General features: G+C 36.4%; 1 protein-coding gene across 37 annotated transcripts in view; it reads left to right on the top strand.

The window, feature by feature from the left end:
• ATP8B4 (ATPase phospholipid transporting 8B4 (putative)) overlaps positions 1-27967 on the top strand; it is a 323617-nt gene that overhangs the window by 84172 nt on the left and 211478 nt on the right. For all 37 annotated transcript variants that reach the window (NR_073597.2, NR_073596.2, NR_073598.2 and 34 more), the window contains one exon: positions 23498-23556. Coding sequence is in view for 33 of the 37 variants with exons in the window: in XM_011522056.4 (XP_011520358.3) it covers positions 23498-23556 (59 nt within the window). In the remaining 4 variants the exon portion in view is untranslated. The remainder of the gene's footprint in view (positions 1-23497; positions 23557-27967) is intronic.

Genomic DNA, 27967 nt, shown 5'->3' with positions numbered 1-27967 from the left:
GATCTGATTTCCAAGAGGACATCCTGGAAGCCTCTTCTGTACCCTCTGGGACTCTTTCAAAAGGGTTGTTTACTTATGGTGACTCTCTAGAGGCCTGCCAGTGTGGTGCAAATGACAGTGGTCAGTTGCTTTGGTTGAAGTTTATATACCTGCTTCTCAGGCATTTACAACGACTTCTCTTACAATAAATGTTTCATTATCACATCTGTTTAACAAACTAACAGGCCGTAATAGGACCTAGGGGTCATGGAGGTTCAATGCCAACAGCATTTTGGAAAGTATTGTTTTTGTTCTGCAGTTGGGGAATAAAGTCTGTATTTTTTTTTTGTATAATTAGATTACATAACACCATAAACATTGCTTTGAGCATATATTATTTAACAGGTAATGTGCTTGTCCTTTGATAGAGGGTGATAAAAAAGATGAATAAGATATGGAACCTATCCTTATAGGTACCTTATCAAGGCATATAAAAGTATTTTTATTTGTATTAATTTATATGTTTAAAGAGTGTTATTTCTTATTGGGTTTATCTCTTATGGAATGATAAATCCAAAAGCTGTTTTCTCAAGTAGATTTTCAGTTGATCTTTTGAAGGAATTAGTTTTTGTTTGAATTTGCATTTCATCTACCATAATAATTTATTTTAAATTGGATCATGTTTTAAAAAGTCATCTATTTTCTTAGTTTGATTGAATGAGGCTGTTGAAATGAAGTACCACGTGGTGCTGGCCAGCGAGTGACATACATAAGACAGTGCTGGCTTCACAAAAGCCCTCTCATAACTTTGGGGTTCTGTTTCCTCATGAGTTCTCTTCTATGTTTTAATAACTTTTTGGTGTCCAGAGAGGAAAGGCATGGGAAATCATCTTTGGTTCCACTAGAGATGAGAGAGAAAGACTTAATATCTTCCATTTCACTATACTAAAATTCTGTGCAAAAAGATGCTTGAAATTATTGTAGAGACTGAATCTTTGCTGCTTGTTATAAATATTGCAGGGCATAAACCTTCCATTCATAGGTTCATCAGCTTTTATGATTGGGAGTGACAGGGAGGCAGCATTGCAGTCCTTAGTCCTAGGTGCGGTCTAGAATTTACCCTGTATTTAAGTCACTTTGGAATAGAAGTTTTTTTTCTCGGACAGGATACACTATATATTTTTAAATCTCCTCCCATAGTCGTAGTGCAGAGATATAAATAGAAGTACAGGTAAGAGATGTCTTCTGCCTTTCAAACCCTTCCTAAGTTTGTGTGCTGCTTTAACTTTATTCACATAGAGCAGTCTGTTTTATTACTCAGGATATGGGCTAGGTTAGGATGCTGTCACAAACCACCAGTCACAGAGGACTTCCTAAAGAGAAGCCCCAGGGAGTGTTCCTCTCCACCACCCTTCCCTCACCTCTCTGTGGAATTAGGGGAGAGCGGCTATTCTCTCCACAAAAACTCTTTTTTTCTTGGATTTCATGACCCTCATGCAGATTCTTCTTGCTTCTCAGGCTGCTCTGCCTCCGTCTCCTTCATTGCACCCCAGTGGTGGAATTTCCCCCTGGCTCAGTCTTCTGCACTTTTCTGTCTGTTCACTTTGTTCCTCAGAGAACTCCTCCTCTATTTTGGTTTCTGTTCATCTCTATGGAGATAACTTTTAAAACTATGGTGTTTATTGTGAAATCTTTCCTAAACATTATACGTTATTTCCAACTGTTGCTGATTTCGATCTAATAGTTTTATCAATATCGCTTTAGATTGCACAGAATAAGAAAACCTGGGAATTAGAAGAATCTTCGAAGTCAGTTTTTCCAGCTTTATTTCTACTTTGAAAATCTGTTACTATAGCGCTGATGAATATTTTCCTTGAATATTGCTCTGACAAGTAGCTCAGATATCTAATTTGGGAGATGTCTAATTCTCTTTCTTTTCTTTTTTTTTTTAGAAACAGGGTCTCACTGTGTCACCCAGGCTGGAGTGCAGTGGTGATCATAGCTCACTACAGCCTCAAACTCTTGGGCTCAAATGATCCTCCCACTTCAGCCTCCCAAGTAGCCACATCTACAACTGTGCCACCACACCTGGCTAGTTTTTTAATTTTTTGTAAAGATAGGGTCTCACTATACTGTTCAGGTTTGTCTTGAAGGCCTGGCCTGAAGTAATCTTTCACCCTGGGCCTCCTAAAGTGTTAACAATTACAGGTGTGAGCCACTGCGTTCAACCTCATTATCTGTTTTGACAGTAAATTCAACCGTATGTTAACAGAATTTCAGATCCTTGTAAAGTTTACTTTCTGTTCTGAATTTTGGAATAACAGAGTATTTATTCTGCCATCTACCTTAAAAACAATCAAATATTTGAAGATCTCTCTCATTTTGCCACATGCTCTCTTTCTTTTGCTAATATTCTCTCTCTCTTTCAGTCTCTGATTTTTTGGGTGGACACCTGCAAATTTCCTCTAATATATGACATGGTTCATAGTTTTTAGACTCTCAGTATCTTACCTATAATATGAGCTTCACCAGGGAAGGGCTGCTATCTTTCTCATTTTTGACCCTGCAACATGTAGTATGGTGTGTGTCACTTTGTTCTAGAACCTGGACATCTACTGAGTAGATGTTTGAATGAATACATCATGGTCACAAAACGTTTTGATGCTCTTGGCTTCTCCAGTGGCTTCTATATTGCTTACAACTGGGTTCGGTTGAACCCAGTTTTCAAGATGTAGTCTGACTTAACTTGGAATGGAGTGGTACCAGATTCTGCTGATCTGGAATTTGGCTTCCATTAAGATTGTATTAGCAGCTTTTGGGAATTTGTACTTATGGCTCACTGAGCTCGCAGTGAAGGCAGAAAAACCATGAAAGGGTCTTGAGTCAGGTGTTATGTTTCTGTATTTATTAAGTTGATGTAGAGTCATTGAATTAGTCAGGATTCTCTAGTAAAACGGAATGTATATGTGTGTGTGTATATATATATATATAGTAGTATATATATACACACACACATATATACAAATATATATGGATATATAATATACAATATATAATAATATAAAAATATATATACACGTATATGTGTATATACGTATATATGTGTATATTTGTATATATGTGTATATACACCTATATTTGTATATAGGTGTATATATACATGTATGTATGTGTCCAAATATATACGTATATGGATATATGTATGCATTTATATATATTCATTTATATTATGTATAAATGCTATATGGATTTGCCTCATATGATTATTGATGCTGAAAAGTCCTGATTTGCAGTTGGCAAACTGGAGACCCAGGAGACCCAGTGGCATGATTTCAGTCCAAATGCCAGCAGGCTTGAGACCCAGGAAGAGCCAATGTTTTAGTTTGAGTCTGAAGGCAAGAAAAAACTGATGTCCCAGCTCAAAGGCAAGAGGAGTTCCTTCTACTCAGCCTTTTTGTTCTATTCAGGCCTTGAGCTGATTGGATGAATCCCACACACATCAGGGACGGTGATCTGCTTTACGCTGCCTACTGATTAAAATGTTGATCTCATGCAGAAAGACCCTCACAGACACACCAGAACTGTGCTTGACCAAATATCTGAGCACCCTGTAGCCCAGTCAAGTTGACACACAAAATTCACCCTCACAGACATACTTTAGTTTATCAAGATATTTTTGAATTTGTGTATTTCTCCTTTTGGTTTGTCAGGTTTTTCTTTACATATTTTGAGGCTACGTTATTGGATGCATACAAATTTAGAGTTGTTGTATAGTCCTGGAAGATCAATCTTTTGTTACTATGGGATGACTCTATCTCTAGCAGTGCTTATTGTATTAAAGTTTAATTTATCTGATATGAGTATGATAATATCAGATTTCCTATGGTTAATGTTGCATGTTATATATTTTCACATTTTTTTACTTTAAATTCTTTAATATTTTTTTATTTAAGATGCTGCATATAGAGTTTTAAAAAATTCAGTTTGATAAACTTTGGCTTTTAAGTAGAATATTTAGTCTACTTACTTATATCTAATATAGTTATTGCTATATTTGTATCAGTAGTAAAATAAATGCATTATCTTAATATTTGTTGTTATTCATTGATTTTCTTTTTATTGCCTTCTTTTGCATTAATCAAATATTTTTATTATTCTAGTTCCAACCACCTGTTAGCTTGGTAGTCATCATTCCTTTAAACTTCTTTTTGTGATTACTCTGGTTACAACATTTCTGTATAGTTGAATGAGTACTTTTACTACTTTATCAACAATATCATGAATTTAGAATATTTTAACTCTTTTAATCAAATTTTTATGCTATCATTACCATGTATTTAATTCTTGGTACATTTTAAAACCAGCAGTGCAACAGTAATAAATAACATGTATTATTGTCAGTACAGTAATTATTTGTGCAGATTTACCCATAATCATTCTGTTATTTTTTATTTTTCTGCATTCTATCTAGAATAGTTTTTCTTCTTTCTTAAGACTTCCTTTTTTTTTTAAATGTGGGAATGCTGGTAATGAATTCTATCACTTTTTGTCAGTTAGAAAAAGTATTTATTTTGGATTTACATTTGAATGTGAATATTTCCACTGGGTGGAGAATTCTATATTGATACTCTTTTCTTCTGGCACTTTAAAGATATCTTTCCATTGCATTCAGGCCTCCACTGACTTTTTTGAAAAGTAAGGTGACAATCTTATTATTACTTTTTTGAAGATGACATATCTTTTTCCTGTGGCTGCTTCAAAAACTTTGTCTTTGAGCAATATTACTATTATGTGTCTAGATATAGTTTCTTTTTTTATCCAGCTTGGGATTCTTAGAAATTCTTCATTTTGTAGTTTGATGTCTTTTGAAAGTTTTGGAAAATTCCCAGTCAGAATATCCTCAGATCATGTTTCTATCCCCTATTCTCTCTGTTCTCCTCAATGGGGATCCAGTTACACATATGATAAACCTTTAACCATATATCTTATCTTTTTATGCTCTTTTCTGAAATTTTAAACTTTTCATCTTTCCATATGCAGTTTTCATATTTTCTACTGACCAGTTTCCAGCTTACTATTACCCTATGTTGCTGTTTCTAATTTTCTGTTCATATGTTGAATTCTGAATTTATTATATTTTCAAATTCTAGAGTTTTCATTTGTTTCTTTTACATATATTTCCGTTCTTTAGTGAAATTTTCCATCTTGTTATCTTTTTAATGTACATGTTAATCAGTTAAAGTCCAAATCTAATAGTTCTAATATCTGGATCATCTGTTTTTATTTTGTATTTATTTCTTTTTGTTTTCAATAATTTGATATTATCTTCTGCCATAACCACTAATTTGTTATTGAACGCTAGATATTGTAAATGAAAAATTGTAGAGGATCTGGATAATGTCTTCCTTCAGGAGGATTTACTTTACATCTGGGTAGCAGTTAGAGAAGGAGCAGATTGTCTTGATCCAATCAGGGACCGAGATACTTTTGAGGCTGAATTTCAGTCTTTATAAGGTTTAGTATGTTTTCATTGGTTTGTCTCATCAAATATAATCCTTTAGAAGTCAAATGAAAACTTAGTGTGTACCAAGACCTCTCTTCCCTGCTAGGCTCTGAACTCTAATTATTGTCTTTTCTCACTTCTGGGCAGCTTAGGAATTAGCAAGTGTTTCAAGGGGAAAGGTACAGAATATCAGGTTTACTTTAATACATTTCTCTTTTCTTCCGGATCTTGGCTATTTAAATTCTGGCTGTTTTGTCATTCCATGAGATCTTCAAGTAGCTATGTATATTTCCTCTAGCATTTATCGTTATTCTTAGCAGGTGGGTTGGTCCTGACACAAGTTACTGCATTATATAGGAAGCTGAAGTCACAAGTTAATTTTTAAATAATCTGTTTTATAAGTTTATAAGAATACATTAAATATTAGTATTTTATAGTTATTAGGTGATTATTTGAATACATCAGGAAGATGTATGAGTAAGAAATGAAAAAAATGTTAAGTTGAATAAGAAAATGGTCAATCAATATATTAATTAGTCTTCTCTGCTGGAATGAGCTAAACTTTAGTCAGGACACATAAACAAATGTAAATCTATTTGGAAATGCTTCAAACTACAGTGAAAAATAAAATGATTAAATACTTAAAATAACATTCTATGTTGGATACATTCATTGGGCTTAGAACATATTTCCAAATGCATTTTTCTAACTCTACGTTTCTTCATTATTTATGATTTCCAAGTATACAATCTAATTGCCATATTGTGGTTTTATAAAAAAAAGTTTAAGTAAAAATTTTCATCCATAGAATTATACTTTATTGTAAAATGCTTTTAAGTCCCTTCCATACAACCATTACTACAGAACACCCCTTTGATCCAGTATTTGAGCCAGAATCTGACATATGGGGTAAGCAGTTAATGAATGTTATCTGTCACTGTATTAGGCTGAGTATTGTCAGTCAATGCTACTTGAGTTAGAGTACCCCAGGGGACCTAGTTCTCATCTAATGTTGCTCTCACAATTTGTCCAAACAGAACTTCCCAATATAAAAATAATTATAATTTTTAAATTTCTGGACTTAATTTTGAAATCTGGACTCTCTTTTGATGGCAGAATGAAATCTTAAAGCATGTGAGGTAATCTCAAATGTGCTATTTTCTTTTTTTTAAAAGCACCTAAAAGAGAGCTAACCAAATATGATATTTTCTATAAATAAAAGTACTCTTAATAACTCAGAAATTAAAAGCCTACTGTGAATTGTAAATTTACTTTTTACATGGTGAAAAAGCTAATTTAAACATCACATTTCAGGCCAAGTGAGGTGGCTCATACCTGTAATCCCCGTACTTTGGAAGGCCAAGGCTAGAGAATCTTTTGAGCCCAAGAGTTTGAGACCAGCCCTGGTAACACAGGGAAATCCCATCTCTAAAAAAAAAAAATCACATTTCAATAATTTTGGCTAGTATGATCTTGTTTCACTGTAGTAGTGCTGATTGTCTTATGAAAAATAAAAAATATTGACTAGTCATTCATTCATTCACTTTTTTAAAAACGAAACAGAAATGTATTCCTCACAGTTCTAGAGATGGTGAAATCCAATCAAGTGGTCAGCAGATTCAGTATCTGGTGGGGCTTGCTTCCTTGTTCATAGACAGCCATGTTTTTACTGTGTCCTCACATGGCAGAAGGTATGAGGGAGCTTTCTGTGGTCCCTTTGACAGGGGTGGCACTAATTTCATTTGTGAGGCCTCTGCCTTCATGACCTAATCACCTCCCAAGGTCCCACCTCTGAATTGCATCACATAGGGAATTAGATTTTTATTATTTTATTTTATTTAAGTTCTGGGATACATGTGCAGGATGTGCAGGTTTGTTACATAGGTAAATGTGGTGGTTTGCTGCATCTATCAACCTGTCACCTAGGAATTAAGCCCAGCATGCATTAACTATTTTTCCCGATGCTCTCCCTCCCGTTGTTCCCCTACCCCACAGGCCCCAGTGTGTGTTCTTCCCCTCCCTGTGTCCATGTGTTCTCACTGTTCAGCTCCCACTTGTAAGTGAGAACATGCGATGTTTGGTTCTTTGTTCCTGTTTTAGTGTGCTGAGGATAATGGCTTCCAGCTCCATCCGTGTCCCTGCACAGGACATGATCTCATTCCTTTTTATGGCTGCATAGTATTCCATGATGTATATGTACCACATTTTCTTTATCCAGTCTATCATTGATGGGCATTTGGGTTGATTCTATGTCTTTGTCATTGTGAATAGTGCTGCAATGAACATACGTGTGCATGTATCTTTGTAATAGAATGATTTATATTCCTTCGGGTATATACCTAGTAATGGGATTGCTGGGGCAAATGGTATTTCTGCCCGTAGGTCTTTGAGGAATCGCCATACTGACTTCCACAATGGTTGGAGTAATTTATATTCCCACCAACAGTGTAAAAACATTCCTGTTTCTCAAGATCGCGCCATTGCACTCCAGCCTGGGAGACAGAGTGAGACTCTGTCTCAAAAAAAAGAAAGAAAGAAAAAAAAAAGTTCCTGTTTCTCCACAGCCTCACTAGCATCTGTGGTTTCTTGACTTTTTAATAATTGCCATTCTGACTCGTGTGAGATAGTATCTCACTGTGGTTTTTGTTTGCATTTCTCTAATAATCAGTGATGTTGAGCCTTTTTTCATGTTTGTTGCCCACATAAATGTCTTCTTTTGAGAAGTTCATGTCCTTTGCCCACTTTTCAATGTGGTTGTTTGCTTTTTTCTTGTAAATTTGTTTAAGTTCCTTATAGATTCTGGGTGTTAGATCTTTGTCAGGTGGATAGATTGCAAAAATTTTTTCCCATTCTGTAGGCTGTCTGTTCACTCTGATGATAGTTTATTTTGCTGTGCAGAAGCTCTTTAGTTTAATTAGATCCCATTTGTCAACTTTTACTTTTGTTGCAATTGCTTTTGATATTTTTGTCATGAAATCTTTGCCCATGCCTATGTCTTGAATGGTACTGCCTAGATTTTCTTTTAGGGTTTTTATAGTTTTGGGTTTTACATTTGAGTCTTTAATCCATCTTGAGTTAATTTTCATATAAGGCATAAGGAAGGGGTCCAGTTTCAATCTTCTGCATATGGCTAGCCAGTTCTCCTAGCACCCTTTATTAAATAGGAAATCCTTTCCCCATTGCTTGTTTTTGTCAGGTAACCAAAACAGCATGGTACTGGTACAAAAACAGACACATAGACCAATGGAACAGAATAGAGAACTCAGAAATAAGACTGCACATCTACAACCATCTGATCTTTGAGAAACCATTCATTCACTTATTGATTTATCTATCCATTCATCTATCTAGCCATCCATCCATCTATCCATCATTCTGTCCATTTCAGAAATATATACTGAACGTTGATTATGTGCTAGACACTGTTCCAAAGGTTGCAGGTACAGCTGTGAACAAAACAGGTTTAAAGAAGTAAAAAGCCCTCAACCTGCATGGAGCTCACATTCTGGTCGGGGGCGGGGCAGAAAGACAATCAACAAAATAAATGAATAAATAATCTTCTACATTGGGTGGGAGTGTGCTGCAGTTTCAAAAAGGATAACCATGGAAGGCTGAATTAAGAAGACATATTTGATTGCAGATTTGAAAGAAGTGAGGCGGCAGCCATGTAAATACTTGAGCAATAAGCATGCCAGGCGAGGGAACAGTAAGTGCAAAGGCCATGAGATGAGAATGGACCTGGTGTGGTCAAGGAACAAGAGGCCACTGAGGCTGGAGTTGAATGAAGATGGGGGACAGTGGTTGTCAGGGCTGGATCGAGGGTTTTTTTGTTTGTTTGTTTTTTGTTTTTTTTTTTAGAGGGAGTCTCGCTCTGTCACCCAAGCTGGAGTGCAGAGACGCCTCCCGGGTTCAAGCAATTCTTCCCAAGTAGCTGGGACTACAGACGCCTGCCACCACGCCCAGCTAATTGTATTTTTAGTAGAGATGTGGTTTCACCATGTTGGTCAGGCTGGTCTCGAGCTTCTGCTCAGGTGATCCACCCGCCTTGGCCTCCTAAAGTGCTGGGATTACAGGTGTGAGCCACCGTGCCCAACCTGGATCTAGGTTTTTTGAGGTCTTAAGCTAATATAAATACAAAATACAAAATCAGGTATAATAAAAATATTAATTTAGAGTGAGAAAATCTCTATAAATTATAATTTTGAAAATTTGAAAAATACCCCAAGCATCCCAAAATTCAGAAAAACAACACAGTGTCTTCATTTTGCTGAATGTGCCTTTATAAAATGTTTTATTTATTTATTTTTGGCCTTTTATTTTTGATTGCCTCTCATATAACAATTATTTTGTTACAAAATTTTCTAAAGAGAGACTTAGATAATTCAGTTTTTCCTTTGGTATAGTTAATTAACATTAACTTAAGAATTATGGTAGCTTAGAAAAAATTTTCACCTTTGTGACTTCACAATGTCACATAAACATTTAGAATGGTCAACCTTGGAAAAACTTCCACCAAGTTTCTTTCATATATGAACTGTTACAGATATACTTGCCATAAGTAGTGCTGCTATAAGTAGGTTTATGCTCAAAAGCACAGGAATTCTAATGCATTTTATTCTGTGAAATCCCCATGAAAAAAGAAAAATATGTTTATTATACTTACTAAGTATAATAAGCATATCATGTCATACATGTATTCATCAACTCCTAGTCAAAACAGAATTTATCACCTCTCAAGAATATGAGGAGTGTATATATATTATGTATCAAATATATATGATATGTAATATATAATAAATATATGATATGTATAATATATATCTATATATTATTTTATTATATATAATATATAGATCTATATTATATATAAATATAGATCTATATCTATTATATATAATAGATATAGATCTATATATTATTCTATTATATATAATACATATAGATCTATATATTATTCTATTATATATAATAAATATAGATCTATATATTATTTTATTATATATAATATACAGAGATCTATTTATTATATATAATAGAGATCTATATATTATATATAATAAATATAGATCTATATATTATATATAATAAATATAATCTATATTTATTATATATAATATAGATCTCTATATTATTTTATTATATATAATAAATATAGATCTCTATATTATTTTATTATATATAATAATATAGATCTCTATATTATTTTATTATATATAATAAATATAGATCTCTATATTATTTTATTATATATAATAAATATAGATCTCTATATTATTTTATTATATATAATAATATAGATCTCTATTATTTTATTATATATAATAAATATAGATCTCTATATTATTTTATTATATATAATAATATAGATCTCTATTATTTTATTATATATAATAAATATAGATCTCTATATTATTTTATTATATATAATAATATAGATCTCTATTATTTTATATATAATAAATATAGATCTCTATATTATTTTATTATATATAATAATATAGATCTCTATTATTTTATTATATATAATAAATATAGATCTCTATTATTTTATTATATATAATAAATATAGATCTCTATTATTTTATTATATATAATAAATATAGATCTCTATATTATTTTATTATATATAATAAATATAGATCTCTATATTATTTTATTATATATAATAAATATAGATCTCTATATTTATTATATATAATTAAATATAGATCTCTATATTATTTTATTATATATAATAATATAGATCTCTATTATTTTATTATATATAATTATAGATCTCTATATTATTTTATTATATATAATAAATATAGATCTCTATATTATTTTATTATATATAATAAATATAGATCTCTATATTAATTATATATAATAAATATAGATCTCTATATTATTTTATTATATATAATAAATATAGATCTCTATATTATTTTATTATATATAATAAATATAGATCTCTATATTATTTTATTATATATAATAAATATAGATCTCTATATTATTTTATTATATATAATAAATATAGATCTCTATATTATTTTATTATATATAATAAATATAGATCTATTTTATTATATATAATATAGATCTATATTTATTTTATTATATATAATAAGTATAGTTCTATATTTATTATATATAATATATATAGATCTATATATTATATTATATATAATAAATATAGATCTATATATATTATATATAATAAATATATATGATATATTTGATATATCATATATAAATATATATGATATATATCATATATAAATATATATGATATATATCATATATAAATATATATGATATATATCATATATAAATATATAAATATATATGATACGTTTATTATATATAATAAAATAATCTATATCATATATATTATATATAATAAAATGAAATACGTAATAAAATGTTTTACATATAGATACATACATATGCATATACATATACATTTACTTGATACTCCTTGTACTCCTGATGGGAGATATATTGTTTTGACTAGGAGTTGTTGAATACTAAATCTTACACATATAATTTTACACGTTTGATGATTGGGAGAATTCTGCACAGGCTTACTTGTAGCTCTATATTTCAAACCTCCAGTCTCTTCCACAATCCATACACTTCTAGTGCCAGGTGCCGTAGGATGTGATCATGTTGCCATGTGATCTTGGGCCCTAGATTCTTATGTTACGGCACTGCGTGGATCTGCATTCCTGACCACCAATAACTGAACTCTATGTAGAAGTATCTGTGAATCACATAAATAGACTCCAGGAAACACAAACTCATGTAGTTGCACCTGATTGCCCCTTATCTGGTTCCGAGCAGCACCATCTGATATTAGGCAAAGTGTGATGGAAGGAACGTTAAAGTGGAGGAGATGATGGTCTCAGCCCCCTGTGGCTAAAATATTTGACTTTTATAAACTGAAAAAAAAGGACTATGCAAACACATTTCTAGTGCTACTCCTTGGGATGAACTGTGCAAGTGAGGTGAGCTGAAGCTTGTTTAGCTTCATGGTAACTTGGCCTCTGGTGGTGATGTGAGGCCAGGGAGGTAATGGGGTAGATGTGTAAAGATTAGGCAGGGCCCTGAAGGCCTTGGTAACAACTGGCTTCTGTGTCTTCAGATGAAGAGCTAGTGGATGGCCTTGAGTAGGAGAGAGAGATAAGACTTGCGGTAGGCAAAATAATACCCCTTGCCCCAATGACGTCCCAGAACCTGTGAATACATTACCTTACAAGGCAAAAGGAACTTTGTGGATGTGCTTAAGTGAAGGGATCTTGAGGGTGGTGAGAATATCCTGAATGATGGAGGTAGGCCCAGTGTAATTTGCAGGGATCCTTATCAGAGGGAGGCAGGAGGGTCAAGGGCAGAGAATGAGATGTGACAACGAAAGCAGAGGTTGGACTGCTGTGGGCCATGAGCCAAGGGACGTGGGCAGCTTTTAGAAGCTGGAAAGTCAAGAAACACATTCTTCCCTAGGATCTCTAGAAGGAACTCAGCCCTGCTGACACCTTAATTTTAGCCCTGTAAGACCTTTTTCAGACTGCTGACTTTCAGAACTGTAAGATAATGTTTATGTTGTCTTATGCCACTAAATTCATGGTAATTTGTTAGAGCAGCAGTGGAAAACTGATAGAATTCTGAAAGAAGCATTCTGGCTGCTCGTTGAGAATAGATGGTAGGGCGAAGGGGCAGAAGCATTGAGACCAGAGGGGAGGCTGTTGCAGTAGCCTGGGCCTCGAGGATGGTGGCTTGGACCAGGGTGTGTGCAGAGGAGGCCTGAGAAGTGGCCGATTCTGAGCATTTACCACCTTTCTTTTCTGCCTCAAATCCTGGCCCCCTTGTATCTCTTTTTAAAGCCTTATTACCTGAATGTGTCATGAATAGGTAAATAAAGTGAGGCTCCTATTTTTTTGTTGGTCTTTTCACACTTGGACTGATATTAGAAGGAACAGCTGAGATGAGACTGTGGTGATGTCCTCTTTTAGTGTCCATGTTTTTTACCCCGTCTTAGATGGCAGACCGCCTCCACCAAATTCCTTTTCGTTACATCACGGTGGTGTAGTCTGGGTCAGGTGCCTGGCAAAATAACCCTGCACACTCCATGGTTTGTATATGGCTACGTAAGCTCCCTTCAGAGCTGCCTGGGACAGGCAGGGATGCTTTTTGGCCACCCGTCTGGATGTGATGTTCCTTTTCTCCAGTTGCTGTGGCTCTCTGGCCTGTCTTCTGCATCCTTGCTGTGCACATATCTGTGGGCATGAAAACACTTTGAAGGCAATCATTGTCTTGTTTGTCTTTGTTTTGTCTTTGCTGACTAGCTATTCTAGCTAGATGAGCAGCTCTATTAGCCTTGCTCAAACGAGCTCAATAAATATTTTTGGGATAAATCACTTTCCCTTGGCTCTAGTAAATTAATTGCCATATGGATTCAGGGAGCTGAGATGCAGAAACCAATACGTATTAAAGAAACTCAGTTTATAGCTTCATGCATCTTAAAGTGACAAACACGAATTGAAAGCTTCCTGTGCAACCCCTGAGGTATCAAGCAGAGAAGTGCTCTCTTCAGAGCTCTTTCTTGCCTGTCTTTCTTTTATGCCTGGAGTTATTTCCTCTCATTTTATGACAGGAGGCTTTCTTGGCCAACCCTTAGGTGGCCAGCCTGTGTTTCACAGAGGAAAATTAAATGCCCTCTGGCTTCTAGGCTCTTATAATCTTTGGGGCAGATGCTGATTTTTTTTTTCTTTGAGTAGAGATGATACAGAAAGAAAGAAATGACTATTTCTCATCTTTAGAGAAAGCATTCTGTATGGTCCAGTCCATAAAAATGCATTTTTTTTGCTATAGATAATCTAATTGTAAAAGAATGTAGATAGAAAAGAACAGATTAGAACAGGCACATATAAGAAAAGTTTCAAAGAAAACAGTCAGTTTTGAACAGGAGTATTCTTAGTGAACTGCCCAAAGTCTCCAAGGAGAGAGGAAACACGCACTACAGGAAGGCCTTCCCAGTGCAGCAGAGACCAACCCTGGAGATGATGAAGCATGGGAAGTGACTGGGCCACGAGGTTGTTTGGGATGGGGTGTGTGATTTGATGTACATCTGGAGTATTGCATTTGATGAGAGGGCTCTTCCCCCTCTCTTTGACCTTTGGACCAAGGCACACACCAATTTGCAGTTTCCCAGTCATCTATGCACTGTACCACCACCATCTCCTTATATCTAGAATCTCCTCCGAGTTTCTTTTATAAGGGAGGCAGTTCTGTGTTTGCATTCTGACTTTACCGCATAATCTTGCTAGGACTCTGTTTCTTCCCCTGTAAAGTAGGGCTGATAACAGCATGTACCTAATGGGATTGTTCTGAGGATTAATAAAATAATGTGTGTGAAACACTTCATGTAGTATCTAGCTTGTAATAAGTGCTCAATTAATGTTAGCTATTACTATTATCATTATCATAATAAGTCTTAAATCTCTAGTCATGAATCTTTACTTATGGAAAGCTACATGCTGAGGGTTTATATGGATATTTTATTAATTTTATGTGTAATTTGTATAATCCAGTTCATGTATCCTAGAAGAGGAATGAATAATGAATTGGTAAAAATTTTACATTTCTTTGTGAAGCTATAGTGAGCCCTGGAAGGAATAAAGTTCTCAAATCAAATTTTCCAACTATCTGGATCTGATGAGCAAATTGGCTCAGCCAAGAGAAAAACAAACCCAAGGCCCTTTAGTATTTGTTTGACTCCCCTAACTTTGTTTCCAAGCTCTCTTGTGAGGAAAGCGTAAAAAAATTGTGGGAAGGTTTTTTTTTCCTTCTATTCTCTTTGGTTTTCTGCTTAAATGTCAATAAGTTCCAGAAGCCGCAGGTCACCACTGGGTTTCAATAGGAAACCCCAACTGGGGACACATTTTTCAATTGTATCAGAATGTGTTCTTGGAGTCAACTCAGGAAATCTTGGAGGCTGAGGGACTCCTTTTCTTTAAAGCTCTCCCCACTCATTGTTCTTTCCTCATGTCTTTAATGAATTGCTTTGGCTTCCAACTACATGGACCAGATTATGAAGAATGAAAGAAAATTAGGAAAGGAAGAAGCTTAAGTTATTGATTTAGCTTGAGGAAATTTTTCAGAGATTTCTGACCCAACCCCAAAAAACCCACAATCACCCTAAACCCCAAATGACACTTCATGTTTGGAGACATTCTTCAGCTTTTGGATCAGTACCAGTCTTGCTCAGGAAATATCAGTCTTTATCACTGAGTTCTATATAGGGACCCCGAATGCTCCATGGTGCTTCATCATTTCATGATTTTGAGGGTCTACAGCCAAGTGCCTGAGGCTGTTTTCTAAACCACATTTGGTGAAGGACAAAATGCTCTGGAGTTAATTAAAGAAAGACTGTTGTATTTGTTAATTAGGGATTCATACTTGCTGTGATCGCTCGTGGGTCTAGTGGAAACTTGCTAACTCTTCCCTTTACTCTTGCTCTTATTAGCAGACCTCATGCGTTCACTACCTAATCTTAAATACTAAGGTGTTACAAATTGTTCACAAACTGATTTTTAGGAAGAGGTTGTAAATGGCCTGTTTTCTTTTGCCTACTGGAAGTGGAAGTTGGATAATGTATAATTTATTATATTATGATGGAGAAGAGGCCAGATTAGGAGTTGGGTGTTGCCTTTGAGGACCTGGAGTAGAATCAATGGGCATTTGCCAATTTCCATTGAAAATATTAAAAAAATTACTTCAAGATCTTCTTGGGAAATAATCATATTAGCAACTTTAAGACTGACTATTCAAGCTTGAGTGATTTCCTTTTTTGCCCATTTACTATTTTTCAGTTTTTTAAAAAAGGATTTTTCTGGTATTTTTCTGTTTACAATGTATTTTCCATATATTTCCTCATTAAATGATTATAACACACAGTGGCATTATTTTACTGAGAAACCATAAGTAAGGAGAGGTATGAGTTAAAATGTGCTTGTATAGGTACTTGCAGAAGGATCATTGGCTCTTGTTGTCTCAAGGTCCAAGCGTCTTTTTCTTTTATGAGGACTCTTTTTTTTTTTTTTTCTTGAGACGTAGTCTCGCTCTGTCCCCCAGGCTGGAGTGCAGTGGCGTGATCTCGGCTCACTGCAAGCTCCGCCTCCCGGGTTCTCGCCATTCTCCTGCCTCAGCCTCCATAGTAGCTGGGACTAGAGGTGCCCGCCACCACGCCTGGCTAATTTTTTGTATTTTTCGTAGAGATGGGGTTTCACCATGTTAGCCAGGATGGTCTCGATCTCCTGACATCATGATCCGCCTGCCTCGGCCTCCCAAAGTGCTGGGATTACAGGCGTGAGCCACTGCGCCCGGCCCATGAGGACTCTTTCATTAAACTCTCATTTTTATGGGTCCTAAAAATCTTCCTAACAGGGGAACAACACCTTAATTGAACTTAAAAATTTCTAGCAGGGGGCCAGACATGGTGGTTCATGCCTGTAATTCCAGCACTTTAGGAGGCCAAGGTGGGAGGATTGTTTGAGGCCAGGAGTTCGGGACCAGCCTAAGCAACATAGTGAGACCCTGTCTCTACTTATTAAAAAAAAAAATTCTAGCAAGATAGTATTATGTCCCTCTCATCTTTTAAACTTGTTTCTTAGTGATCTGATTACACTTTTGGATGTTCTGTCTGTATCTTTCCTTTCCAAATGGAAAGACAAGCATAAGTGGATATAGTTTTGTTTTTAATCATAAACCAGGAGCGACTTTAACAAACCATCAGCCCTATGAGATAATTCTTTTTTTGCAGGGAAGTAGGGAGCTATAGATTAATTATTCTGAAACTGGGTTATTCTTTTTGATAAATGTTCCCTAATATTTAACTGATTTATAAATGTTTACTTCCTAAAATAAATGAGGTATTCTCATTTAATTATCTTGGAGAATATAACTGGAAGTACATGGCTCAAAGACAAGCATCCAATGAGTGCTTAATTGCTATCCTATTTGGTTGAGGAAGGCATCAAATTATATTGGATTTTATGATTTTGGGGGATTTAAGGTTATTATCGTCATCCTATATGGAGTAGCACTTTGAAGGCTTACTTATCTATTTTTCTATATTCTGGAGCAGATTCAAAACAAATGTCTAAGAGATTTCTGCCTCTGCTGATGGCTGTTATCTTGGATCACTAGAATGACAAAGGATGGCTTCCTTCCTATCCAGGCACATGTTTCTGTTAGGCTCCTCAGGTGTCAAAAAATGATGCAAATGCTATTACCAACTTGATCTTCTTTCGGGTCTTGTACTCAGCCAGCAATACGGTGTAGCAGCATTCCAGGTATGTTCCAGGAAGTTCAATCTCAAGTTCATGGTCACATAGTATTTATTACAGTGAAGTTGATAGAAATAAGAATGATTAGTCAACGAACACATAGCTTATGCATTCATTCAAATATCCCAAAATATATTCCTGGATTTAATCAGATCAACAGAGAATGAGTACAGAGACCCCATCATAGACCCCTCTGAATTGTGTCCTGAGATAATATCCTTAGGGTTGTTACAAAAACCTTATTTTATGTTCTTTATATCAAACAATGACTTCCTTATGAGGATTTCTAAGGTAAATTAATGCCTGAGGCAAGAATTACTAGTAATTGTACTTTTCCTGAGAAATTGATTTATTATTACCTACCAGAACTACTAATAATTGTACTTTTACTGATAAATTGACTTTATTACCTCACAGACTTTGTAAAATAAATGGCAATAGACAAGCATTCCTTTATTCTGTGGCATTTGTGGCACACCTGGATCAGGTGTGTGGGTCATTGGATTAGCTATTTTTATTATCATTCTTGACTCTGGTTGATTATCATTCTTCCTTCTGTGTCTTCTTCCACCCTACTGTACTTTAAACATTTAAACAAGTATTTTTCCTGTTGTACATTCTTTTTTGTAAAATTTTTTATTTTAATTTTTGTGAGTACATAGTAGGTATATCTATTTATGGGTTATACATTAGATATTTTGGTACAGACATGGAGTATATAATAATCATGTCATGTAAAATGGGGTATCCATCCCCTCAAACATTTTCCTTTGTATTAGAAACAATCCAATTATACTTTTAGTTATTTTTAAGTGTACAATTAAGTTATTATTGACTATAGTCACCTGGTTTGCTGTCAAATAGTAGGTCTTACTGTTGTACATTCTTGAGTAGCTGTTTTGTAGATGGTCGTTGTCTGTAAACACTTTTGCAGAGATGTCTTTATTTCCCCTTCACACTTGATTATTTGGCTCGGTATAGAATTCTAAGTTTCAAAATATTTTTCTTTAAAACTGAAAATAATCACTCCAATGTCTTCTAGCATCCTTATTGCTGATGAGAAATGTCATATTGGTCTGATTCTTATGTTTCAGGCTAACCATTTTTTTTTCTTTTGGAAGTTTTTGGGATTATCTGCTTGTCCTTGGAGCTCAAAATTTTATGAAGGTTTGTGGGTTCATTTTCATTCATCCTGATTGGTACTTGGTGGCCCTTTCACTTTGAAGAGTTACATCTTACTCTGGAGCAGGGCAGTTTTCTTCTATTTACTTGATTGTTTTTACCTATCCATTGTCTATGTTCCCTTATCCTAAGTTTTTTTTTTCACATTTTCCTCCTGTTTGTCATTTTGATATATATTTTGTGAGATTTATCCAATCTGTTCTTTCGTCTTGTCCATTCTACTCTCCAGTGTGTCCAGTTAATATTTTTAATTTCTAGGGACTTTTTCTTGTTCTCTGTTTTCTTTGTTTATATTAGCTTGTTCTTGTTTCATGGATGCCATGTCTTCTTAAATATCTTTGAGGTGCTGGGTATGGTGGCTCATGCTTGCAGTCCCAGCTATTCAGGAGGTTGTGGTGAGAGGACGGTTTGAACCCAGGAGTTCGAGACTGCAGTGAACTACAATTGTGCCACTGCATACCAGCCTGGGTGACAGAGTGGTATGCAGTGGCACAATGTCAAAAAAAAAAAGAGCATCTCTAAAAAACCTATATATCTATGTATATATATTCAAGGCACTAATCAGAATTAAAAAGAGAAACCAATCCCCTTTTTCTACCTGTATTCAGCATTATTTCTTCCTGTTGGATCCCTCTTTTTTGTGCTCTTGGTTTTTCTCAGCTGTTACTGGTTTGTATTTATAAATAAAGGACTAGATAGATTAGTGCCATCGCCAGGGTCTTTTTCTCTGCCAGGCCTCTCCTTTGAACAGGAGTGAGCAGCCTGCTGACAGAGGCTTTTCTGTGTGTGTTAGTCAGGCAGTCTGGCAAATCCCACAATGGCCCCAGTCAGGCAGGCTTTACTAGGGGCCAAGTTGGCTATAGCTGCTGTAGAGGGGCAGAGCTCTTCCTTCTCAGGCCTGAATACCCACCCTTGGTTTCCTTCCCTGACGTGTTGTCTGCTCTCTTTGTGGGCAAAGAAGGGGGTGTGGGAGATCCCAACTGGTTCAGTTATTTTTTTAATTACTCTAAGGTGGTAATATAATTTATCATCAAATGGAGACACTTTTGAGAATAAAAGGGGAACCTATCAATTATTTTGACAAGATAATAGGCATAACCTGGGCCTGTCACCCTGTCCATAACATACTCTCAATCTTCATATTTACTGACTCTGAATTTAGAGCTGCTCTGGGCTCATTGGGAAGATCACTCTCTAATTCTTTTGGCTAGAGTTATTTCTATCTTTTTTCTCCCAGTCAAAATGATCTCATCTGCTTTCTATTTTATTCTCTAGGCTTTCTTCAAAATTTATGAACCTCTGCTAGCCACTACTCTTGTTTTCCAGCACTGTTATGTTTTCAATCTTAAAAAATGTTTTCTGTAATTTCAGAGGGACCTGAGAAAGAAGGGAGGAAAAAGACAGACTCAACTTGCTATCTTAAACCAGAAGCTCTTTTAGCTCTTTTAGTCCACTTTAAACATGCTGGCTTACTATATTTTATACATCCTTATATATTGCCTTACTCCTTTTTGGAACTGGACAAATTCAGTGATAATTGTGCAGGTGTGAGTTCACACTGGTAAATCATCAACCCCTTGGTGACTAGTTTCCTTTCATTCCTCTTACATATGGAAGGATCCCATGATGCCTATGAAGTATCAGGCATTAGGTCATTGAACCTCTGAGCCGTTCTCAATGGGAATAGTTATGGGGGATTTGTTTTCAGCGTCCTTTTTTTCCAGGATGTGATTTATTGCCAAAAGGTCTTTATATCCCCTCATACACTGTGGTAGCACAGAGAAGAAAGTTAATTCCTGCAAAGATAATTCAGGTGTAGCATAGTCAGGTTAAAGACAGAAAACTGTAGCAATTTAGAACCAAAGCCAGTATTTTGCAGAACTTAATGAAGGGATGCTAAATTTTCTGCCAGAATTAATCCAGGAAGACTTAGTTCAGAAAGATGATAATTAGTAGAAGTAACAGACACAACGATTAAGACTTATTAAGAAGGATTTAGAAACAAAAGTGGGCTTCCTGGCTCTAATCAGGTTTTGGGGGATGAGAGCAATTTGGATACCTGAAAGAAGATCCAAACTGACCTACCATAGAAACTACTTGGCTGCTTTGGGAATGGGCTAGTCCCTATCCTTGTGGAGTGTGGTTACATGGAGATGCTGGACAGGATGGTTTCTTTTTTTTCTTTTTTCTTTTTTTTTTGAGATGGAGTCTTGCTCTGTCGCCAGGCTGGGGTGCAGTGGTGTAATCTTGGCTCACTGCAACCTCCACCTCCCAGGTTCAAGTGATTTTCCTGCCTCAGCCTCCCAAGTAGCTGGGACTATAGGCATGTGCCACCACGCCCAGCTAATTTTTGTATTTTTAGTAGAGATGAGGTTTCACCATGTTGGCCAGGATGGTCTCGATCCCTTGACCTTGTGATCCGCCTGCTTCAGCCTCCCAAAGTGCTGGGATTACAGGCGTGAGCCACCGCACCCAGCCCAGGATGGTTTCTGTGTGGCTCACAGAGTCAAGATTCTGGTGTTTGGAGTGGGTAAAATTAGGTACAGAACTATAGAATTCTACTCTTGGATGTGCTTCATATAAATGTGAAATTTTAGAAGGATCATCATCTGAATGTATATGAAACAAGCTAAAGCCAATTAATATATAATTAATATATCTGATTTTTGTTTTGCTGCTATAATCTATTAATTACATGCAGCATACCAGTGGTCCAGGTTAACCTTTTGCCATGCAGGAAGAGCCCTCGCTCCTACCATCCCAGTAACATTTTTTTGCTTTCCTGTCAGCAATTTTACTACTTCTGGGTTATGGTGATGTTATATAAATAAGTTTCTAGCTTTTTAAGCATTTAGGTTCCCACACCTTTCAAAGTACCACTTTGGGATTTGATGTTTTAATTCTTTGTTGGGGCATCAGCAAGAAAGACAGGATGGTGCTTTTTAGCCAGGGTTTGAGGTGTTTCCTTCAGGTGGGTGGGTGGTTGAGAGGTTGCTTCCTGGTGGATTCTGGATTTCAAAGTTATAGGTTAGGAGCAAACCCATTTAGGTATCATCAACTGTTGACACCAGTCCAATATTGTTCTTATCAGCAGTTAGTTGAGCCGGACTAGAAAACAGGAACCATCACAGAGACCTGGCTTTATTAGATAGGCAAGAGGGAAACCATGCAGGTGGTTACTGGACAGACAAAACACCCTGCAAATGGTAGAAACCCAGTCATAACCAAAGACAGAGTGTCATTTGTCAGGAGCAGTCCTTAGAGGTGACCTTCAGTCTTGGGAGTTGAACCACCAGGGCTACAGAGAGATTCTGCCTGCACTTTTGGAAAAAATTTGTTCTTACAATTCATGGTGCCTGGCATGCAAGAGGTGGGTGCTGAAATATATTCCTTCCTTCCTTCTCTCCCTCTTCATCTCCCTCATTTTCCTCATCTCCCTTCTGCTTCCAGCTCTTCTTTTCACTTTTCTTTTGCTCTTCCCTCCTCCATCCCCAACACGTGTCTCCAAGTTACTTTCCACCATCCAGTCTCCTTTATCTCTGGTTGTAAGTGCCTTCTCTAAACTCAGACTCTTACTGCAATCCCTCCACCTTTTACCACCTGTCACCTACCCAGTTGGAGAATTATGGGATTAAGGGAATTTAATGGTGAGAGGGTCAAGTCACTCGCCATGAGAATCCAGCATTGACATCTGGTGGTTACCTTGCTGACTCTTTTCTCATAGCTTTCATCATTCCATCCTAAATCTTTGGTCAACTCTGGAAGTACCTCTTCAGTAAACATGGAGCAAGAGCTTGCTACCCTTACTACTAAACTTGTTCTGCCGGTGTTTCTGGGGCACTGTCTTATCTTGCCCTCTGCAAATTTTTATTCTGCACTGTCATAATCTTTAGGTTTATTGTCCTTTTTATATTATTATTTGTACTGGTGTTTGCATTTGCTTTCAGAAGAGATTTTATTCTTTGGTCACTTCCAGCTAAGGGCAGCTCTCAGTCTCCTGATTATGTGTCATTCCTCTTAATATGCCTGGGCTGCTTACAGATATCACCTTTGGTTCTAAGACCATAAGGTCAGTGACCTCACTGGCCAGTTCTGTATGGTTTATTTTTGGCTATGTTATATTTTGTGACTTTGTAGCAACAAACCCCACAAAGCATTCCTTGCCAGGATGCATTTGACTTTGTCAGCTCCTTCTCTTAGGAACCACTTGAAGTTAAGAGAAAGGGTCTTTGTGGTGCTGAAGATACATAGAAATTGGAGACACATAATGTTTTGCTTTATGGTTGGCATCAGGAGGACAATGAGAAACATTGTAGCTTTCCATTTTGGGACTTTACAACACATGTTCCAACATGTACACTGGAAAAAGCCAATACCTTCAAATTTGAAAGAAAAGAATTCTTGCAGCCTTAACAACAAAGCAACCTAAGTCTTGTTGTTTTAATGAGTTATTTGTTTCTCTGGGCCTACAATTTAATTTCATACTTGATTTCTCTCTCTTTAGAAGTGGAACGGATAGTGAAAGCCAATGACCGTGAATATAATGAAAAGTTCCAGTATGCGGTAAGTGAAACACACATAACACATACGTACTAGGATAGGTCTTACCTAAAGACAGTGGGATGCATGTCTTCTAGAACTTTATGACTTCACCAAAAACTTTCTTCATTGGCCCATTTTGACAGCAAGGTGACATATATTTCCATAAATACAGATCTTAGTAATGTTTACAAACATATTTCTCTCCCACTAAGAGTAGTTGGTATGCTTATTGTCATGGGAAGATGATAAAATCTCTTCTTTCTCAAGAATTGATGTTTAGCTCATTTTGGTACCCATTTGGTTAGTAGAATCCATAGGAATAATATGAAAATGGACCTTTTTGGTAGCACTTAGTGATGGATGTAGTGACGTTAGCTAGTGGTTGATGAATGGCATTTGAGGGATTTTCTCTAAGCAACTCAGGCTGAATGTGGAAAAATATATGTAAGATAAAGTTCCACTCCCACCATTCTGGAAGACAGTGTGGCAATTCCTCAGGGATCTAGAACCAGAAATACTATTTGACCCAGCAATCCCATTACTGGGTATATACCCAAAGGATTATAAATAATTTTACTATAAAGACACATGCACATGTATGTTTATTGCAACACTGTTCTCAATAGCAAGGACCTGGAACCAACCTAAATGCCCATGATTTGGGCATAGACTGGATAAAGAAAATGTGGCACATATACACCATGGAATGCTATGCACCTATAAAAAAGAATGAGTTCATGTCCTTTGCAAGGATGTGGATGAAGTTGGAAACCATCATTCTCAGCAAACTAACACAGGAACAGAAAACCAAACACTGCATGTTGTCACTCTTAAGTGGGAGTCGAACAATGAGAATACATGGACTCAGGGAGAGGAACATCACACAGCAGAGCCTGTCAGGGCCTAGGGAGCTAGGGGAGGGATAGCATTAGGAGAAATACCTAATGTAGATGACGGGCTGATGGGTGCAGCAAACCACCATGGCACGTGTATACCTATGTAACAAACCTGCACATTCTGCACGTGTCCCAGAAGTTAAAAACACACACACACATATATATACACACACACATATATATATGCGTATATGTATAGTGTGTGTGTGTGTGTGTGTGTGTGTGTGTGTGTATATATATATATATATATATATATATATATATATATATAGAGAGAGAGAGAGAGAGAGAGAGAGAGAGAGAGAGAGAGAGAGAGAGAGAGAGAGAGAGGCCGGGCACAGTGACTCATGCCTGTAGTCCCAACACTAGTTTGGGAGGCCAAGGTGGGCAGATCACAAGGTCAGGGGTTCGAGACCAGCCTGGCCAATATGGTGAAACCCTGTCTCTATTAAAAATACAAAAGTTAGGCATGATGGTGGGCGCCTGTAGTCCCAGCTACTCGGGAGGCTGAGGCAGGAGAACCGCTTGAACCCAGGAGGTGGAGGTTGCAGTGAGCCAAGATCGCACCATTGCACTCACTCCAGCCTGGGTGACAGAGGGAGACTCCATCTCGAAAGGAAAAAAAAACAAAAGATAAAGTTCCCAGGTCCTGAATGATTGTATTTACAGAATGATTACATGTGTGGGCTTTAGGCTTGTACTGAACAGTTTAAGTGAGGATTTTTTTCATTGATGTAAGGAATATTTATGGAATGTCTACTAAGTGACTGGCACTGTTGTAAGCTACAGTGGTGAACAACTTCATGAATTACATCATGGGCCTTCATAAAGATCTTATTCTTCTATGACTCTGTGTAAGTTGCTACCTGGAATCTTTTATAAGCTCTAAGATAGAAAACTGGTAGAGTAGTTTCTGTAGGTGATATGTGGCCTATAAGACCTGTTGTATGATTGAGTTTACCAGCACATTTAATGAAAGAAAGTCTCAATTCAAAGAGGGGTTTGATGGCTATTAAAGCATAGAAATATGAGAGTCCCAGGGGCAAACTTTGGCAGTGTCCATTAGGTACCAACTAGAGGAGAGAGAATTTTGGTCAGTGGAGTTTTTTGTGTGTTGTTCCTATTGGCAGATCTTTCCCATATATGGAGATGAATGCATTGGGCTATTATAGCTTGATTAATTATTAATCAATTATTAATTAATTAATATTAATATTTATTAATATTTATTAATATTTAGGAGAGGTAGCTTAAATTTCTCTTTTTTCGTGCTGTGCTAGTCATGCAAACTTGTGATTATAATTTGATTTTCAATGTAGGTTTCCCTGTAGGAATTCAGTATGCCACCTCCATGACAGATTTCTCATTGTAGAACAATATACTGGCATTCTGATTTTATTCATCAGTCTTGTAAGCTTGGTTAAAGTAAGTCTGCTCTTGAGACAAGAAATCCCTCTCAGGAGGCTGATCAACATGCTTCTTAGCCTGGGAGAGGGAGGGGCTATAATTCCCCAAGGTGACAAATGTCACTCTGTATGGCCTCCTGACATATGGTCATTCAGCTTCTCCTGGTGAACACCAGACTTGGCCCCATGCCTTTTCATCCATTCTATAGCCAGTCCTTTAACTGTGGAGAATGACCTCTGAAAGGCTTGACCATCAAGTCCCAAATCAGAGAGCTAGATACATGTATATTTAAGACCTTGAGAAAAATACCCAGCAATAACTAATCTGCTATGGGGTAATTATGCATTTAAGTACTTGGCTGCGTTTACTTGTTTTCCAATATGCAACAAGTATTTTCCTTCTGTGAGTAGTAACCCTATAAGGAAAGCCTTATTTCGTTTGTGCCTTGTAAAGTGATACGCTCTTTTCAATTTACAATTATTTTTGCTTAATTAATGGAATATTGCAGACTCACAGAGAAGCACGGGGAATAACAACATACCATTTGCCTACCACCCATATTGAATAGATGTTAACAATTTGCCATTGCTTCAGATCTTTCTTTCTTTTAAAAGTCATAAAATGCTAATGATATAGACATGATTTTCTCTTGAGTTTTCATGATATTGAACAAAAGCACGCACATGTGTGGCTGTGGCTCTTCTGTTGGGTTTCCTAACAATCACAAGGCAGTAGAGGAATATCCTGTGGCTACAGCAGATTGAACAAGGTAGCTCCATCTCTGAGTTAAAACATACCAAGATGGGCTGGGCATGGTGATTCATGCCTGTAATCCCAGAACTTTGGGAGTCCGAGGTGGGTGGATCACGAGGTCAGGAGTTTGAGACCAGCCTGGCCAATATGGTGAAACCCTGTCTATACTAAAAATACAAAAATTAGCCAGGTGTGGTGGTGCGGGGCGTGTGTAGTCCAGCTACACAAGAGGCTGAGGCAGAAGAATTGCTTGAACCTGGAAGGCGGAGGTTGCAGTGAGCCAAGATTGTGCCACTGCAGTCCAGCCTGGGTTACAGAGTGAGACTCCATGTCAAAAAACAAACAAAACAAAACAAAACACAACACAAAAAACCAAGATAAAATCAAATTCCACTATGGGTTGGCAAAACCAAGAATGACAGCAAAAGTGGAGAAAGAAAACTACAGAGCAGAGAGGGGCACAGATATCCCAGATTAAAGGACTTCCATTGTGGCTCAGAGAAAATGAGCACCTGCCATGCTCTTAGGAGCATGGGACCCCCAACTACACCTAGGTGGTGTTGCCTTGGTTTGGGAACACCCAAAAGGATGCCTGGCCATGCAGTGAACTGTGGAGCCTCTCTCAGCCTCAGTCTATTCTGCTATATGTTGGGGATAATCAAAGTACCTATTTAATACAGTTATTGTAAGGAGTAAAGTAGAGTAAAATACAACAACCCTATGAGCTAGTCTAAGTAGAGCTGGGATTTGAACCTATGCCTATCTGATTTTAAGCTTTTTTTTTTTAACCCCTAAACGGAATATCCTTTTAAGAAAGGCAGCATCCTGGTGTCTTTTGCTCAGTCTTGCCCAGCTTTAAAGAATATCACTCCAGATGGAAATGAATTTGGAGAGACTTCAGCATATCCCAGGGAGAGTGCTAATAATAATTAATAAAGATAGTGATAATGATAGCTTAAAACAGGTAGGGCTCACCATATGAAAGGCATGGTTCTAAGCACTGTACTATATTAAACTTATTTAATCTTATAACTAGTCCACGAAATACTCTTATTTCTTACTTTTTTATTACCTTTTTTAATATATGGAAATGTTAAGCCATTGAGATCTCACTTAAGTGACTTGCTCAGGGTCACACAGATAATAGCTCATATCCATACAGCTTGAACCCAACTGTGTACCAGGTGCTTTGAACGTATTTCAGGCTTCCACAAAACTTGCTGAGATGAAGATGGGGCTCCATTTAGTAACTTGTCTAAGTCATGCAACTAAAAGGTAACAAAGCTGGAATTCTAGTGCAGACTGGCCAGATTCTAAAACCTATATTTTTTTTCATGATGTCATGTGGCTCTTTTGAGCATTCTTGGAAAACAAAC

Source organism: Homo sapiens, chromosome 15 (genome assembly GCF_000001405.40).
Source record: "Homo sapiens chromosome 15, GRCh38.p14 Primary Assembly".
NCBI lineage: Eukaryota > Metazoa > Chordata > Mammalia > Primates > Hominidae > Homo > Homo sapiens.
This window is presented reverse-complemented; position numbering and strand designations above follow the sequence as displayed.